The sequence below is a fragment of the Homo sapiens genome, chromosome 1 (genome assembly GCF_000001405.40).
Source record: "Homo sapiens chromosome 1, GRCh38.p14 Primary Assembly".
Taxonomy (NCBI): domain Eukaryota; kingdom Metazoa; phylum Chordata; class Mammalia; order Primates; family Hominidae; genus Homo; species Homo sapiens.
This window is the reverse complement of record NC_000001.11, coordinates 151,410,173-151,426,952: the sequence shown is the minus strand read 5'-3', so window position 1 is coordinate 151,426,952 and position 16,780 is coordinate 151,410,173. Positions and strand designations below refer to the sequence as shown.

The 16,780-nt window shown below is 41.0% G+C and overlaps 1 protein-coding gene across 16 annotated transcripts in view; it reads left to right on the top strand.

Moving 5' to 3' along the window:
• The window catches only part of POGZ (pogo transposable element derived with ZNF domain), a 56,771-nt gene that overhangs the window by 32,542 nt on the left and 7,449 nt on the right, over positions 1 to 16,780 (top strand). For 15 of the 16 annotated variants that reach the window (NM_001194938.2, XM_005245005.3, NM_145796.4 and 12 more), the window contains 5 exons: positions 1,892 to 1,998; positions 2,667 to 3,004; positions 3,402 to 3,556; positions 14,557 to 14,657; positions 15,182 to 15,328. In NM_001194938.2, the coding sequence (NP_001181867.1) occupies positions 1,892 to 1,998; positions 2,667 to 3,004; positions 3,402 to 3,556; positions 14,557 to 14,657; positions 15,182 to 15,328 (848 nt within the window). The remainder of the gene's footprint in view (positions 1 to 1,891; positions 1,999 to 2,666; positions 3,005 to 3,401; positions 3,557 to 14,556; positions 14,658 to 15,181; positions 15,329 to 16,780) is intronic. The other variant, XM_047450070.1, reaches the window with a different exon arrangement.

Genomic DNA, 16,780 nt, shown 5'->3' with positions numbered 1-16,780 from the left:
CAACAGAACGACACCCTGTCTCAAAAAAAGTAAAAACCTTTAAAACATGGTGTTGGGAAAACTAGATATCCATGTCCAAAAGAAGTTGGATCTTACCTTACAATAAATACAAAAATTAACTCAAAATGGATCAAAGACCTAAATGAACTAAAACTATAAGACTCTTAGAAAAATTATAGGACAAAAAGCTTCATGATACTGGATTTGACAGTGATTACTATTTCTTGGATATGACACCAAAAGCATACGCAAGAAAAGAAAAAATGAGTAAATTAAATTATATCAAAATTTAAAACTTTTGTGCAGGACGTTGTCAACACAGTGAAAAGGGAAGCCACAGAATGGGAGAAAATATTTGCAAATTATGTATCTAATAAGGGGTTAATATCCAGAATATATAAAGAATTTGTGCAGTTCAACAACAAAAAAACTCCCAAACAACCTTTTTAAAAAATAGACAAAGGACTCGCTGGTCGTGGTGGTTCATGCCTGTAATCCCAGCACTTTGAGAGGCCAAGGCAGGTGGATCACGAGGTCAGGAGTCCAAGACCAGCCTGACCAATAATGGTGAAACCCCGTCTATACTAAAAATACAAAAATTAGCCAGGCGTGGTGGTGTGTGCCTGTATTCCCAGCTGCTCGGGAGGCTGAGACACAAGAATTGCTTGAACCTGGAAGGCAGAGGTTGTGGTGAGTCGAGATTGTGCCACTGCACTCCAGTCTGGGCAACAGAGAAAGACCCCATCTCAAAAAAAAAAAAAAAAGTAGGAAAGTAGGCAAAGGACTGAATAGACCTTTCTCCAAAGAAAGTTATTGCCAATAAGCTCATGAAAAGGTGCTCAGTGTTATTAATCATTATGGAAATGCAAATCAAAACCACAATGAGGTACCGTCTCACTCCCATTAGGATGGCTACTATCAAAGAACCATAAAATAACAAATATTGTTGAGGATGTGGAGAAAGCAGAACCCTTACGCACTGTTGGTGGAAATGTAAAATTATGCAGCCACTTTGGAAACAGTATGGTGGTTCCTCAAAAAGTTAAAAATGATAGAATTGTTGTATGCTCCAGGAATTCCATTCTATACCCAAAAGAATTGAAAGCAGGGACTAGAACAGGTATTTGTACACCTATGTTCATTGCAACATTATTCACAATAGCTGAAAGGTGAAAGCAACACAGAGGTCCATCAACTGATAAAGGGATAAATAAAATGTGGTATTCACATACAATGGTATATTGTTCAGGCTTAAGAAAGGAAATTCTGCTACAACATGTGCTGCAACATGGTTGAACCTTGAGGACATTATGTTAAAGTGAAATAGGCTAGTCACAAAAGGACAAGTACCATATGATTCCACTTACTTGAGGTACCTAGAGTAGTCAAATTCATAGAGACAAAGTTGAATTGTGGTTGCCGGGGTGGAGGCGAGGGGAGAATGGTGAGGAGGTTTTTATTGGATATAGCTTCAGTTCTGCAAGATTAAAAAAAACAAAAACCTTAACAAAAAAATCACATACAAATTATTCTTAGCTTATGGGCCAAACAGAAACTGGTAGCTGGGCTGGATTTGATCTGTGTGCTGTGGTTTGCTGACCCCTGGCCTAGAGTTAGAACAGTAAAAGGAAGCCTCAAACATAGTGATCTTGAGCCCAGGGAGGTCAAGGCTGCAGTGAGCTGTGGTCGTGCCACTGCACTCCAGCCTGGGCAACAGACTGAGAGACCGTGTCTCAAAAAAAACAAAAACAAACAAAAACCATAGTGATCTCTCATGCTTGCTTACCCTTTTATATACTTCTCAGGGAGTGTTTGACTTTTTCCCAAAAGGTCAGTAATCTTTTTCCAGTGTCATTGTATTAATCTTATCAATTCTTCTCACTTCTTTCAGTGACCTCTTCCATCCCAGTATTTGACCTCCAGGATGGTGGACGGAAAATATGTCCACGATGTAATGCTCAATTTCGTGTTACTGAAGCTTTGAGAGGTCACATGTGTGTAAGTGATATCACCTGTGATCCAGCTTAAGTGGCTTCTGCCATTTACCTTCATTAATATTGGAAGCTTGTAAGCAGGGGCTCTAAAATGACTGAAGCTTTTTAAAGGGTTACTGTTTCTCTTGGTCTGTTTTTAGAAGAGCTGTGTACTTTGGAATGTGATGGGATACATTTAAAGACCCTCAAATAGATCAGAACATATGTGATCTTACTTTCTTAGTGTGGTAGATTTTGAAACCACACAGGAGAACAGGTTTATAGATAATAAGGACTCAAACCATATTGGCCTCAGTTCATTTTTGTTAATTGTGTCATTGGATGAATCGGGAGCTCTTACTTCCATTTTTTAGCTTTTCATTTTTTGGTATTAGTCCAGATAAAAAGGTTGGAACTTCTTCTTTGCCAGGGAGCTCAGAGCCAAGTTATACTAATGATTAAGGGACCTAAGACAGGCAGGAGGGAGAAATACAAAGTATAGCGCTTGGGTGGCATATGTGGATATACTCTAGAAAAGGAGTAAAACTTGGAAACGCTAAAAAAAACTGAAGGGTGAAAGCTGAATGAGAATACCTGAAACCAAACCGTTAACAAGGAATGGTAGTGAAGTTAAGGAGTTAGCACATTCTAGCCCCCAGGATAACCAGAATGATCAGATGTCTTTCTTTATAGTACTGTTGCCCAGAAATGGTTGAATACCAGAAGAAAGGAAAGTCCCTGGATTCAGAACCCAGTGTCCCATCAGCAGCAAAGCCCCCATCCCCTGAGAAAACAGCTCCTGTTGCTTCCACACCCTCTTCTACACCTATTCCTGCTCTGTCACCGCCTACCAAAGTACCAGAACCAAATGAGAACGTGGGCGATGCCGTCCAGACCAAACTCATTATGCTTGTAGATGACTTCTACTATGGACGGGATGGTGGCAAAGTAGCCCAGCTCACAAATTTCCCTAAGGTCGCCACATCTTTCCGATGCCCACATTGTACCAAAAGGCTAAAAAACAATATTCGGTAAGTGTTTAAGAGCCTTGGAAGTTACCTTGAACAAGAGAAGACTTACATTTTCTTATATATTTTAAGTCTTTCTCTTTGGAGAATGGACCTAACTACTATGCAGTCTTGCTGGGGTTATCATTAAATCAATAACTAGGACTATAGAAGGAGATATTGTGGTAATAAACAAAAGGTAACTGGATCGAGTAAGGGAAAGCAGTATGTCTCCTTTCCCAGAACTCTCTTAGTTTCAAGAACTCATTATCTTTCTGGGCTCAGAAAAGGATATCCCAAACAGGAAGTCTGGGGAATGGAGGGGAGCAGATAATGTTTGTTCTGTGATTTTACCATTATATTTCTAAAAGGCTACCAATTTTTTATGTTTTCTGTACTTTCTCTTTGTGCTTTATTACAGATTCATGAACCATATGAAACACCACGTAGAACTCGATCAGCAGAACGGTGAGGTAGATGGTCACACTATCTGCCAGCACTGTTACCGCCAGTTTTCCACTCCCTTCCAGCTTCAGTGCCACTTGGAAAATGTTCATAGTCCCTATGAATCTACTAGTAAGTTTGGAAACTCTTAAACTCAAGGGGAATATACCTTGCTGTTCACTCATTGAATGGCGCTGGGGGGAGCCCATTATATTTATTTACATGTGGGTAACAGTGTAGAGGAAGTACTTTTCATATTTGTAGCCAGTTCTTTACTTCATTCACCTTGTTTTTTTTTACAAGCCTGACTTTTATTTTGTTCAAGCATGGATTGAGTTCAGTGTTAGATCCTGAATTGTTAGGGGCGTTGATTCAGAACCACTGTAGAAAAACAAATGTAATTAATTTATTTCTTAGGTCTCTTTATAGAAGGAACAGTCATCTATTTGCTCTTCCACTTTAGTTAAACCCTGATAGGTTTTATGTAGGCTAAAAGATAATATTGTGAAGTACTTTATCATTAAGACATTGCTTTCAATGAAATATAAGATGAGCTGGAGTGTTTTCTACACTGTATATTTTATACATGTAGGCTGGACATAAGCTCAAAGAAATTAAGTAGGATAAAAGATAATATGGCCGGGCACGGTGGCTCACGCCTGTAATCCCAACACTTTGGGAGGCCGAAGCAGGCAGATCACCTGAAGTCAGGAATTCGAGACCAGCCCGGCCAACATGGCGAAGCCCCATCTCTACTAAAAATGCAAAAATTAGCTGGGTGTGGTGGCGGGCACCTGTAATCCCAGCTACTCGGGAGGCTGAGACAGGAGAATCGCTTGAACCCGGGAGGCGGAGGTTGCAGTGAGCTGAGATCATGCCATTGCACTCCAGTCTGGGCAACAAGAGCAAAACTCCATCTCCAAAAAAAAAAAGATAATATTATGAAGTACTTTATCATTAAGACAGTGCTTTCAGTGAAATATAAGGTAAGCTGGAATGTTTTTCTACACTGTACATTTTATAGATAGATGTAGGCTGAACATAAGCTCAAAGAAATTGAGTCATTTGCTTATGAGCGTACACCTCTAAATACACCTCTACTGGGGATACATAGTGAGGATTTAAGCCCAGTATTGAGAATACTTCTCATGTCCTTTACGGGATTTCCAGTTTTGTTGTAAAGACAAAAATTATGTAAATATAGGAAAATGTGAGAACAAGATAGTATATTATAAACATAGACATTTTAAGATATCATTGATAGGTGAAATACTTCAGAGAAGGGAAAAAATCCTTGTGGCTAGGTTTCCAAGAAAGTCGTGCTTAAATTTAAGAAAGGTTTAGATGGATGGAGAGTAGTAAGAAAAGCTTTTAGGTGATTGAAAACAGCATGATCAAAAGCATAGAAGACATATGCATATTATCTGGATGCATTTGCTACAAGTAAAAATCCTTAACTAAAAATGAATTAAACAATAAGGACTGGGTGTGGTGGCTCACACCTGTAATCCCAGCACTTTGGGAGGCTTAGGTGGGTGGATCAGTTGAGGCCAGGGGAGACCAGTCTGGCCAACATGGCAAAACCACATCTCTACTAAAAATACAAAAATTCGCTGGCTGTGGTGGTGTGCGCAGGTAATCCCAACTACTCAGGAAGCCAAGGCATGAGAATCACTTGATCCCAGGAGGTAGAGGTTGCAGTGAGCTGAGATCGCACCACTGCACTCCAGCCTGGATGACAGAGCGAGTCTCTGTCTCAAAACAAAAGAAAACAATAAGAATATCTGTTATATCATTTAACTGAGAGATACAGAAATGGATGCTTCAGCCTAGAATTTGACTGCCCTGCTGGTTTTCAACAATTCTCTTGTCTCTGGCTCATAGCAGGGTGGCTGTATAAGTGTCAGGCACTATGTCCAGATAAAAAATTGTTAGACAAAGAAGAGATCTTATCTTCCCATCTTTCTTTCTTGAATCTGTTTTCTTATGAGTGAGAATTGCTTTCCTTTTATATCTCTTTGACCATTTATTGGCAAGGGAAGTGGGATTGACATTAATGGCTTACAGTAACACTAGGCAGTAGAAATACGCAAGCTTCATGAGTAATTTTAATTTTTTTCACTTTAAATACAGTAGCGCTCCCTTATCCTCAATTTTTCTTTCTTGAATCTGTTTTCTTATGAGTGAGAATTGCTTTCCTTTTATATCTCTGACCATTTATTGGCAAGGGAAGTGGGATTGACATTAATGGCTTACAGTAACACTAGGCAGTAGAAATATGCAAGCTTCATGAGTAATTTTAATTTTTTTCACTTTAAATACAGTAGCGCTCCCTTATCCTCAATTTTAGTCTCAATCACAGTCCAAAACTAGGTGAGTGCAGTACAATAAGATTATTGAGAGAGACACCACATTCACATAACTTTTATTACAGTATATTGTTATAATTATCCTTTTATATATTATATATTTTTAATTGTTAATCTCTTTGCCTAATTTATAAATTAAACTTTATCATAGGTATATATATATATATATATGAAAAAACACGGTATGTATAGGGTTCAATACTATCTGAGGTTTCATGTATGCACTGGGGGTCTTGGAACGTATATTTCCCATTGGCAAAGGGCGTCTACTGTAAAGTTTAAAAAAACAGGCAAAATTAATTTTAACAGCATATTTTATTCAGTATATTAAAAATATTTCAACATGAACTCAAAATTTAAAATTAATGAGATATTCGTCATTCTTTTTTCCTCCATTAAAAAACAGATCTTTTGAAATACAAATCTAAATTGGGTTTGAGCTTACCACATTTTAAGTGTTCACTAGATACATGTTGCTGGTGCCACCATATTAGACAGTGAAACTTTGGACTAATCATTTGGGAGTAGAATGTATATTAGAATCAACCGGGCCAGGTGCAGTGGTTCACACCTGTAATCTCAGCACTTTGAGAGGCCGAGGCAGGCAGATTGAGCTTAGGAGTTCAAGACCAGCCTGGGCAGCATGGAGAAACCCCGTCTCTACAAAAAAAATACAAAAATTGGGTGTGGTGGCGCACGCCTATAGTCGTAGCTACTCAGGAGGTAGAGGTGGGAGGATTGCTTGAGCCCAGTAGGTCAAGGCTAGAGTGAACCATGATCACGCCACTGCACTCCAGCTTGGATAACAGAGCAAGACTCTGTCTCAAAAAACAAAGAATCAATGGTAACACTGCAGTGTAGTGCCAGGGTAGCCAGCTTGGTCTAGAATAGGACTCACGATTCTTCACTGTCAGTAATGTGAAGCCAGAGTAACTCATCCATACCTCTTAGTGAAAACACCAGTTTTTTGAGACAACAGGGTCTTGCTCTGCCACCCAGGCTGGGGTGCAGTGACGCAATCTTAGCTCACTGCAGCCTCGAACCCCTGGGCTCAAGCAGTCCTCCCACCTCAGCCTCCTGAGTAGCTGGGACTGTAGGCATATGCCACCACACCCAGCTAATTTATTCCTTTTCTTGGGGGTAGAGACAGGGTCTTGCTGTGTTGCCCAGTCTGGGCACCTAACTCATTTTTACGCGTAATATGGGGGGTGGGTTTTGTTATTCCGAAGTTCCACAAATAATAAAATTACACAGAGGGAAGATAAGTTTTTCCTTATGGAAAAGAAACAATGTAGACCCTCATTGATCTTTTTTCTCTTGGTTTCCCTGACTTAATTTTTGAGTCTCTTATGACAAGATTTTATGCTTACCAAAATCACCTTTCCTTAGCATATATCAATTTTATTCTTGCAGTCTTTCGTAATTTCCTTTTTTGCACCCTTGACAGATCTGGCATGAAAGTAGTTTTTTTTTTTTTTTTTTTTTTTTTTTGAGACAGGGTCTCACTCTGTTAGCCAAGCTGGAGTGCAGTGGCACAATCTTGGCTTACTGCAATCTCCACTTCCCAGGCTAAGATGATCCTCCCAACTCAGCCTCCTGAATAGCTGGTACTACAGACACATGCCACTATGCCCAGCTAATTTTGGGGGGTTTTTTGTTTTGGGGGGTGTTTTTTGTAGAGATAGGGTTTTGCCATGCTGCCCAGGCTGGTCTCAAATTATTGAGCTCGAGCAATCCACCCACCTCAGCCTCAAAGTGCTGTGATTACTGGTGTGAGCCACCGTGCTCAGCTTTTTTTTTGGGAGACAATCGCTCTGTCACCTAGGCTGGAGTGCAGTGGCGCAGTCTTGGCTCTCTGCAACCTCTACCTCCTAGGTTCAAGCAATTATTGTGCCTCAGTCTCCCAAGTTCCTGGGATTACATGCATGTGCCACCATGCCCAGTTAATTTTTTTGTTTGTTTATTTTTAGTAGAGATGGGGTTTCGCCGTGTCGTTCAGGCTGGTCTCAAACTCCTGGCCTTAAATGATATACCTGCATCGGCCTCCCAAAGTGCTGGGATTATAGGCATGAGCCAGCATGCCCGGTCGAAAGTAACTTTTTTTCTTTTTTTCTTTTTTTTTTTTTTTTTTTTTTGAGACAGAGCTTCATTCTTTCACCCATGCTGGAGTACGGTGGCACAATCTCAGCTCACTACAACCTCCACCTTCTGGTTTCAAGCGATTCTCCTGCCTCAGCTTCCCAAGTAGCTGGGATTACAGGCGCCCACCACCATGCCCGGCTAATTTTTTGTATTTTTAGTAGAGACGGGGTTTCAGCATGTTAGCCAGGCTGGTCTCAAACTCCTGACCTCGTGATCCACCCACCTTAGCTTCCCAAAGTGCTAGGATTACAGGCATGAGCCACCGTGCCCAGCCCAAAAGTAGCTTTTTCAAAAAAAAGAATTGATGCATAATAGGTGTACATGGTTTAGGGATGCATGTGATAATCTAATATACATTTATATAATCTGTAAATATTAAATCAGTGTACTTGGAATATTCATCACTCTATGTGTTTATGCTAGAAACATTCAAATTATTCTCTTCTAGCTATTTTAAAATTTACAACAGGTTATTGTAAACTATAGTCACCCTACTGATCTACTAGGTCTTATTTCTTCTTTCAAACCATATATTTGTACCTGTTGATCAGCTTCTCTTCAACTCTCTACTCCCCTACTCTTCCCAGCCTCTGGTAACCACCATTCTACTCTCTCTCCATGAGATCTACTTTTTTTTTTAGCTCCCACATATGAGTGGGAACATGTGATATTTGTCTTTTTGTGCTTGGCTTACTTCACTTAGGGACTTCCAGTTCTAACCATGTGCTGCATGACAGAATTTCATTCTTTTTTGTGGCTATAATATTCCACTGGGTATATATACCACATCTTTTTTTTTTTTGAGAAGGAGTCTTGCTATGTCGCTCAGGCTGAGGTGCGGTAGTGCAATCTTGGCTCACCACAACCTCCACCTCCTGGGTTAAAGTGATTCTCCTGCCTTAGCCTCCTGAGTAGCTGGGATTACAGGCACACGCCACCACGCCCGGCTAATTTTTTTGTATTTTTTAGTGGAGACGGGGTTTTACCATGTTGGTCAGGCTGGTCTCAAACTCCTGACCTCATGAGCCACTGTGCCCAGCCACCACATCTTCTTTATTCATTCATCTGTTGGTGGGCACTTAGGTTGATTCTATATTTTGCCTATTGTGAACTGTGCAGCAATAAACATGGGAGTGCAGATACCTTTTCAAAAAGTAGCTTATTTTTACATGCTAATATTTTGGGGGATTTTTTTCCTTTTATTTTCTGAATTGTTTGTTAATTGTAGACATCATGATATTTTTCTCCTAAATATTTTAATATGTAGCTCTAAAAAATAAGGCCTTTTGTGTGTGTGTGTGTGTGTGTGTGTGTGTGTGTGTGTGTGTGGCCACAGTACCTTTGTTAAGATCTAATAGGCCGGCGCAGTGGCTCACGCCTGTACTCCCAGCACTTTGGGAGGCTGAGGCGGACGGATCACCTAAGGTCAGAAGTTCAAGACCAGCCTGGCCAACGTGGTGAAACCCTGTCTGTACTAAAAATACAAAAAATTAGTTGGGCATGGTGGTGCACACTTGTAATCCCAGCTGCTTGGGAAGCTGAGGCAGGAGAATTGCTTGAACCCGGGAGGCGGAGGTTGCAGTAAGCTGAGATCACACCATTGCACTACAGCTTGGGCAGCAAGAGTGAAACGCTGTCTCAAAAAAAAAAAAAGAGGGCCGGGCGCGGAGCCTCATGCATGTAATCCCAGCACTTTGGGAGGCCGAGGCGGGTGGATCACGAGGTCAGGATATCGAGACCATCCCAGACAACATGGTGAAACTCCATCTCTACTAAAATACAAAAAGTTAGCCGTGTGTGGTGGCACGCGCCTCTAATCCCAGCTATTCGGGAGGCTTAGGCAGGAGAATTACTTGAACCCGGGAGGCGAAGGTTGCAGTGAGCTGAGATCGCACCATTGCACTCCACCCTGGCGACAGAGCAAGACTCCGTCTCAAAAAAAAAAAAAAGATCTAACAGAATTAATCAGAAATCCTTAATAACATTCAATACCTACTTTATTTAAAAATTTTCTGAGTTGTCCCCAGAATATCAGTGGATCATTATATTTAATTGTGATAACAGTATCATCTTAATAACATTACAGGCCAAGGCATGGTGACTCATGCCTCTAATCCTAGCACTTTGGGAGGCCAAGGCGTGAGGATTGCTTGAGCCCAGGAGTTTGAGAACAGCCTGGCGAATATAGTGAGACCTTATCTCTCTCTGTTTTTGTATTTTTTTTTAATTAGCCAGGTGTGGTGGCTTGTGCCTGTAGCCCCAGCTGCTCAAGAGGCTGAGGTGGGAGGATTGTTTGAGCCCAGCAAGTCGAGCCAGCAGTGAGATATGATCACACCACTGCTCTCCAGCCTGGGTGACAGAGTAAGGCCCTATCTCAAAAAAAAAAAAAAAACCCAAAAAGTAGTATTACATTTTTATTCACACTTGTTTAAGAGCAGTGCAGTGACTTGAAGGAGCTTGTATGGCCCTAGGGTTCTTTTCATAAGTTTGTCTAATGCTGATTCTTAGTCTTTTTTGAGACAGAATCTCACCCTGTCACACAGGCTGGAATGCAGTGACGCAATCACAGCTCAGTGCAACTTAAGCCTCCTGGGTTCAGGCAGTTCTCCTGCCTCATCCTTCCAAGTAGCTGGGACTACAGGCATGTTGGCCAGGCTGGTCTCTAACTCCTAGCCTCAAGTGAGCCACCCGCTTTGGCCTCCCAGAGTGCTGGGATTACAGGCGTGAGCCACCGCACTCTGTCTGATTCATAGTCTTTTTTTTTTTCTTTTCTTTCTTTTTCTTTTTTTTTTTTTTTTTTTTTTTTTGAGATGGAGTTTCACTCTTGTCACCCAGGCTGGTGTGTGCAGTGGCACAGTCTCAGCTCACTGCAACCTCCGCGTCACAGGTTCAAGCAATTCTTCTGCCTCAGCCTCCCGAGTAGCTGGGATTACAGGCGTGCACCACCACACCCGGCTAATTTTTGTATTAGAGGCGGGGTTTCGCCATGTTGGCCAGGCTGGTCTTGAACTCCTGACTTCAGATGATCCGCCTGCCTCTGCCTCCCAAAGCTCTGAGATTACAGGCGTGAGCCAGTGCACCCGGCCCTGATTCATAGTCTTTTAATATTTATGTCTAATACAGAAATCTTAACCTGCTTGGTGGTGAGGTGTCCTGTGAGCCCCTTGAAATTACATATAAACTTTGCCTGTGTGTGTGCATTTTTCAAGGGAGAGGTTGCATAGCTTTTGTTAGTGTGAGATTTGGGACTAAAAAATGGTTAAGACTGTTAGTTATTATTCCTGTTTTCCATAGTGGCTATCTTAAGGTACATTTCTTCAAATATTCTTTTTTTTTTTTTTTTTTTTGAGACGGAGTCTCGCTCTTTTGCCCAGGCTGGAGTGCAGTGGTGCGATCTCGGCTCACTGCAAGCTCTGTCTCCTGGGTTCACGCCATTCTTCTGCCTCAGCCTCCCGAGTAGCTGGGACTACAGGCACCCACCACCACGCCCGGCTAATTTTTTTGCATTTTTAGTAGAGACGGGGTTTCATCGTGTTAGCCAGGATAGAATGGTCTCGATCTCCTGAACTCGTGATCCACCGGCCTCGGCCTCCCAAAGTGCTGGGATTACAGGCGTGAGCCACCACACCCGGCCCATTTCTTCAAATATTATAACATTTTTCTTCCTGGCATTGTTACCTCCACTTCCTGAGCATCTCATTAAAGGTAACAGATGTAGGTTATTCTAATCTTTCAAAAAATCTTGTGTTAGTGGAAAGGAGAAAGTTTGAGGAAGAAATAGGATTGAGAGAAGGATGCTTTAAGGAGCTTAACCATGTTTAGGAGTCGGAGCCTGTCGGGGTTGGGGAAGATTGAAGACAGGGAAAACAAATTGACAAAATCTTGGAATACATGGCATGATGAGGTTGGATGAGCCTTAGGAAGGTACAAGAGATCTATCCTTCCATAATTTGGAAAACAAGCAGCAGAAGTTACAGTTGTTCATGCCTATTTCCTCAAAGTAGGAGATTGTGTTAGGTGTTAAGGAGGGTGATGGTGCTCAGAGGGACAGTTAGGACAGCCACCATGGAGAATCAATTCATTTTCCCTCTTGAATCTTTTTCTGTATTAGCTCCTTCCCCTGTAGAACTGATGTGTCAAAGGTTACCAGAGATCTCTTAAATCCCCTTATATTTGAGTTCCTACCTCACTAGTTTTCTTGAGATAACACAATGTAAATCTTTTTTTTCTTTTTTTTGAGGGAGTTTCGCTCTTGTTGCCCAGGCTGGAGTGTAGTGGCGCCATCTTGGCTCACCGCAGCCTCTGCCTCCCAGCTTCAAGCGATTCTCTTGCCTCAGCCTCCCAAGTAGCTGGGACTACAGACATGCATTACTGTGCCCGGCTGATTTTGTATTTTTAGTAGAGACAGGGTTTCTCCATGTTGGTCAGGCTTGTCTTGAACTCCCAACCTCAGGTGATCCGCCTGCCTTGGCCTCCCAAAGTGTTGGGATTACAGGCATGAGCCACCGTGCCCAGCCAACACATGTAAATCTTAACCTGATGCTTGTACATTAGAAATTGCTTAATAAGTGTTTTTATTATTGATGTTGCATGACAGCTGTGAAAATAGAGCTGATAAATAGGTTATAGGAGAAAGAGTGAATGAGATTGCCCAGGGAAAACATAGACTAAGAAAGGCCTGGACAAAATATTGCTTAAAGGTGTTCTAGAAGAGAAAAATGAGAGAGGTAAACAAATCGGGGGGTGAGTGGAAAAGAGATAATATCGTTATGTTGCTAGTTAACTGTTTCCCAAACATGTGGTTAACTTTCATACCTACTTGCCTTTCCTCCTGCTTTTCTCTTGGTCCTCTCTCTGGCTGGCTGAGCCCCATTCTTTGACAATTCAGCTTTTATATGTTGTTATAGCTTTTCCTCATTCCTTTATGCAGAATTTCTTATTTATCCATGTCCTCATAGCACCTAATGTACCTGTAGACAGTGTTTCTAAATGGAGTTGCAGACCTCTTTGAGAATAAATATGAAATGTTTGAATCCTCTTCCTAGAAAAATCTACATTTTACTCTTTTGCAAATAATTTCAGAGAAAGCCTGGATTCCTAGAGGCCTGTTCCATAGACCCCAGATTAAGAACCCCTGGCTTTTGTTTGTTTGTTTTACTTTAAAAAATTACTTGGCTAGGCACAGTGGCTCATACCTGTAATTCTGGTACTTTGGGAGGCTGAGATGGGAGGATTGCTTGAGCTTGGGAGGTCAGGGTTGCAGTGAGCCATGATTGAGCCACTGCGCTCTAGCGTGCGAGACAGAACGAGACTCTGTCTCAAAACAAAAATCCAGGGTTCTCGGTAGTTAAAAAAAGAAAAAAGAATTATTTCAACTTTATTCATATTTCTTTGGCTGGGGTGTAGGGGGCTGGGGGCGGGGGGAGGTTAGACATTGTCCAGTAAATGCCCAAGGCTTTAAGCTTCCAGTTTTCATATTTGCAAAAACTTGAAACTAATTCCATTAAAGTGACAAAAATGTAAATAATCTCTCTCTTTTTGCCATACTGTATAATTAAAAATATGTAGCAGTTAAAAGTCTTACCAAAATTGGCCGGTGCACTGGCTCACACCTGTAATTCTAGCACTTTGGGAGACTGAAGTGGATTGACAAAAGGATTGCTTGAGGCCAGGAGTTTCCGACCAGCCTGGGCAACATGGCGAGACCCTGTCCCTACAAAAAAAAATTTTTTTTAATTACTTGGGCATGGTGGTGCACCACTGTAGTCCTAGCTACTTGGGAGGCTGAAACAGGAGGCTCGCTTGAGCTCAAAGGATAGTCCTAGCTACTCAGGAGGCTGCGGTGAGCTATGATCATGCTCCAGCCTGAGCAACAGTGAGATTCTGTCTCTTAAAAAAAAAAAAAAAAAAAAAAGCCCAGGCACGGTGGCTCACACCTATAATCCCAGCACTTTGGGAGGCTGGGACAGGTAGATCACCTGAGGTCAGGAGTTCGAGACCAACCTGGCCAACATGAAATTACCAAAAATTGTCTCAGAAGTTTGACAAAATTGTTCATTTGTGTCATAAAATTTTGTCAAAATTTTTTCTCATAAGCTTGACAAAATGGACAATTTCAAAGAGAGTAGGAGGTATTGGAGGCCAGCTGATTAGCAGTGGGAAATCATATGGGCTAGTACCAAGTTTTTGCCTTATTATAAGTATAGAGAAGTGACAGTTCCTACATGCAGTTTGAAATAATGGTGACAGAATGCAGGGTTTGGAATCCGAGATAGTGCCTAAATTTTGAGCTCAGGAAGAAATGGGGAAAGGAAAAAGGGAAACAGTGGTAAGACAGGAGGATGCTGAATTAGGTTAGAGTTGACGATAGAATAACCAATTTAAAATGTCTTATAGATAAAATCTAGAATGAAGCTTTGGTAAGAAGTCTGAGCTACGTACATAAGATTATCAGCAACATATATGTTAAGGTGGAGCCATTTAAAGAAAGAACAGAAGGGACCTATGATTTACTGATTGTTGAAAATCAAAATAAAGGAGGCAGAGAAAATAAAGATTGTGAGTCAGCAGGACTTTTGTCTTATTTTCAAGTGGATTTATTGATTACTTTTCTTCTTACAGCCAAGTGCAAGATCTGTGAATGGGCGTTTGAAAGTGAGCCACTATTTCTCCAGCATATGAAGGATACTCATAAGCCTGGAGAGATGCCTTATGTTTGCCAGGTATTGCCTTTTTCTCCAGGGAGTTTTAGCAGTTTTGCCCTCAGGAAGAATACAAAGAATTTACTAATGAATATTGTTGACCACCTACTGCATACACTCAGTTTAGGAACTCTGAGTAGGTACAGAAGAAATAGTAAACACAGTTTATCTTCAGGGTTTCCATGCAGGAGAAAAACATAAAAGAACATGTCCACAAGTAGACTAGCCGGGAACATGTGCATATTCTAAGGGAGTGTCTGTCTCCTGAACGTGCCCTTTGGAAATTGACAGAAAAGGCTTTATTTTTCTTAGTTAGAGAACATGGATTATTCTTAGACTTTCTGTCCCTTCCTATTTTTAAAGTAATAGCTAAACCTATCACAAACATAGCCCAGCATTACAAAGTCAGGAAAATAATTTGATTTCTATGCATTTGAGAAAACTTTTTTTTTTTAATTTAAAAATTTTTGTTGCTACCTTTTTTTTTAAGGCCTCTCAGTTGTTCACTTCATTCTTAGCCTTATTTTCCCTCCTATGTGACTCAGGTGTGTCAATATCGCTCCTCACTCTACTCTGAGGTAGATGTCCATTTTCGGATGATCCATGAGGATACCCGGCATCTGCTCTGCCCTTATTGCCTGAAGGTCTTCAAAAATGGCAATGCATTCCAACAGCATTACATGAGGCACCAGGTACTAGGCACCAAGCAATTCCCATATTCTCTTGTTTTTTTTTTTTTTAAACATGGATGCTGGGGCCAGGGCTGAGCTAGGCAAATAATTTGGGCAGAGATTATAATATGCATATGTTTGCAGAAATTTATTGAATTCACTTAATGTGCCATGTACTAGTCTAGATGCTAGAGATTTAGTAGTAAACAAGGCAAACAATACAATAAAACATGAAGAGTACTGTGTTGGGGAAATTATAGGATATAGAAAATCACATAGCTATTCTGGGTGCCTAGTAAGGCTTCCAGAAAGAAGTGTTGTTCAATACCTGAGGGATGAATAAGAATGAGCCAGATGAAATAAGACGAAGAACAGTGTGCCCAAGGCACAAAGCAAAATTGTGGAGGTTCAAGAAATTGAGAGAGATTCAGTGTAGGGTGTAAGAGACAGAGGGGTTGGAAGTTAGGCAGGGACAGATCATGGAGGATCTTTTAAGCCATGAAAAGAATTCACTGGGAAGCCACTAAAGGGGTTTTAAGCCCTGGAGTGATGTGTTCAGCTTTAGTTAAGGCTTTATACTGCCTGCACTGCAGAGAATGGATTAAAGGAGATTGAGACTACAGTTAGGGAAACTAGCTAGAAGGCCTTTTTCAGTAGTTTAGGTGAGAGATGATAGTGGCTATTGGCTTTTGAAATAAAAAGAGGGTAGAGTTGAGAGATATTCAGAAGATTTGTGATATTTATGATGTAGAGATGGATTAGGTGAAGGTAGCAATGCAGTAGTTAAGAATAGTGCCTAAGATTCTGTCTTGGGCAGTTGGGTGAATGAGGGAACTATTTGCTGAAATAGAAACAATAGAGAAAGTATATTTGTGAGGGGGGAGATCATGAGCTTGGATATTGTAAGTTAGCAGTATCTGTGGATGTCAAGTGTAGCTGTTGGATAATAGATCTCAAGCCTGTGAGAGAACTCTGGGTTGTAGAAAAGATTTAGGAATCAGCGTTATATAAATCCTATAGATTTTAAACTTAAATACCATGGGCCCCCCAACCCTGTTGAGAATAAGAGAAGGCTTAGGATATTTGAAGTCCCTTATCTATAAAGCAACCACCATAGTACTAGGAGGAAAACCAGAAGAGTCTTAACCTTAAGGAAACTGGGGAGAAGAAAGTGTTTTAAAGAAAAGGGTGTGATCAAAATGTCATATGTTACAGGAAGGTGTCAAGCAACATAGAGACTTAGAAACAGGCCTTTAATTTAGCAACATTGATGAGAGCCATTTTGTTGGTTGGTAGGGTGGAAGTCACATTTCAGCAGAACAAATGAATGAGAGGTAAGGAAATGAAGACGATGTATTTAAAGAAGTTTATTTATAAAAAGGGAGGACCCAGGGTAGGTAAATCCAGAGGAAGAAGTGGCAAAGAAGAGTTTTTTATTGCTTTTATTTTCCTTATAAGATGAAAAGCTATGAC